The sequence below is a fragment of the Homo sapiens genome, chromosome 10 (assembly GCF_000001405.40).
Source record: "Homo sapiens chromosome 10, GRCh38.p14 Primary Assembly".
Classification (NCBI taxonomy): Eukaryota; Metazoa; Chordata; class Mammalia; order Primates; family Hominidae; genus Homo; species Homo sapiens.
In genome coordinates this window covers 4368981-4370922 of record NC_000010.11, presented here as the reverse complement: position 1 = coordinate 4370922, position 1942 = coordinate 4368981, and the positions used below count along the sequence as shown (strand labels likewise).

The 1942-nt window shown below is 37.1% G+C and overlaps 1 long non-coding RNA gene across 1 annotated transcript; it reads left to right on the top strand.

Moving 5' to 3' along the window:
* The first annotated feature begins 237 nt into the window (after window positions 1-237).
* On the top strand, window positions 238-1739 carry LOC105376371 (uncharacterized). The gene is made up of 2 exons (XR_930590.2): window positions 238-528; window positions 1234-1739. It is a non-coding gene; the product is annotated as an uncharacterized LOC105376371 (long non-coding RNA).
* The last annotated feature ends 203 nt before the right edge of the window (window positions 1740-1942 follow it).

Below are 1942 nucleotides of genomic sequence, written 5' to 3'. Positions count from 1 at the left end.
CATATAACACATTTTCTCTCTTGCTAAATAGCTCTTACATATTGAAGAGAATACAAAGATAGATATAGAAAAATTGACTCTAATCTGCAGGGATATATTTCTTCAAATCTTTCTTCTGGGCAAAGGTGTAGATATAAATATACATTTTTATTAGCTTGCAAATTTCAAAACAGTCTTATTCAATTACATAATCTATGCAGGAGAGTAACTGAGCAATAAATACTACAGTTTAGTAGCTTATGCTGTGGTTCTACTCATCATAAAAGGTGCTGGTAATTAACTTTAAAGCCTTCAGTGGTCTGGGACCTGGCTACCTTTGAGTTGTATTTCATTTCATCCCCTCTGCAGAGTTATGACTGAGTGAACTTGATCTCAGATTCTGTTCCCAACTCTGAGTGTTGCAGAATTAGTTCCAGTTGCCTGCCTTCCCTTTGATATTCACTTGACTCAGAGAAGAGGCCAGATCTACTTTTTCACTCATCTGGGGGGATTAAAAAACCACTACTCTATTCCAGAAGATTCCTGACGGTAATAATCTTTTACCTCTAGTTATTGCTCACTGTGCTTTTTGTGAAAACTCTTTGAATTGTTTTAACCCAGTCACTTACCCACTTCTCTTTTGTTGGCAGCGGATAGAGGGCAGAAAGAGGAAACACTGGAAGTGCAATCCATTATTTTGTATCCTGGCGATTTTATAAATAATATATTTTTTAAAAAATCAATTGTTTAATATTTATTAGCTCAACCAAATGCAATATTTTTGTATGAAATAAAAGAAAAACTGAAATCATTCATCTAGATATTTTGTTTAAGGTAGCCAGGTCTCAGACCACTGAATGCTTTAAAGTTAATCACCAGCACCATTTCTGATGAGTAGAACCACAGCATAAGCTAGTAAACTGTAGTATTTATTGCTCAGTTACTCTCCGGCTTAGATTATCTAACTGAATCAGACAGTTCTGAAATTTGCAAAACTTAAAATAAATATTTTAAGGTGGGGAAAACATATTCTGTATGCTCCCACAAATGCAACCGCCAAGGAAACTGACACAGAAAAATAAACAGAATTATTTCAGTTTCTCTCAGGCACATGATGTTATCACGTAAAAAGATTTTTGAGTTCTTGGACACTTGGATAACGGTATATTTTCATAGGTGTTAAGATGAAATATTCATGATATATCAAACCCAAAATGCCTAGTACTGAATGAGTCACCTTCTGTTCCAAAACAGCTTTTCCTTGGATTATTTGCATTTCTGTCAACGGCCCTGTAATATCTTGGGGTAGCACTGCAGTTCTCCTGAGGAGTGAATGTCCATCAGCAGCAGAAAGTGCACTTGCTCCCTGAAAGGGCACCGGGATCCTTGGAACAGGCTCCATGTTAGCGCTGGCAAAAGGATGAATGCAGCATTCCGTGAGGAATATTTTTCTGGAGAGTGGACTAAATGATGAATGGTGGTCTGGGCAAGCTTCGGACTAATTGGAGCAAGGAGAATGGAACTTAGTGTCTGGGATGTCTTTCTCTGAGCTCTTACCATTAGTGCACATCAGCAATAATTTGTAGGACTCTTCTTTCTGAAAGGGAGAACTGACAAAATTGATACAGAGCCATAGTCCTATGGTTCCTGCAGTTTTAGCCAAGTTTCTGACATAAGGACTTTCATTCAGGGAACCAGACAGTGTCAAATGGAATACAAGATGGGGGATGGATGTCTAGAATAAAACAGAAGCCCATTGATTGGTCAGAGCGTGAATAGATGCTAAATAAGACAAAGCTGTATCTGAAACATACAGAAAAAATTACCTATTCTTAAAATAAAAGTTGGCTGTCAATGCTTGGGTAGGAGACTATAAGCCCAATTATGATGAATATTTCATATTAGAATGTATATCCTTGGAGGGAGTGAAGCATTCTAGAAAAATATATAGCCAAGTCTAATT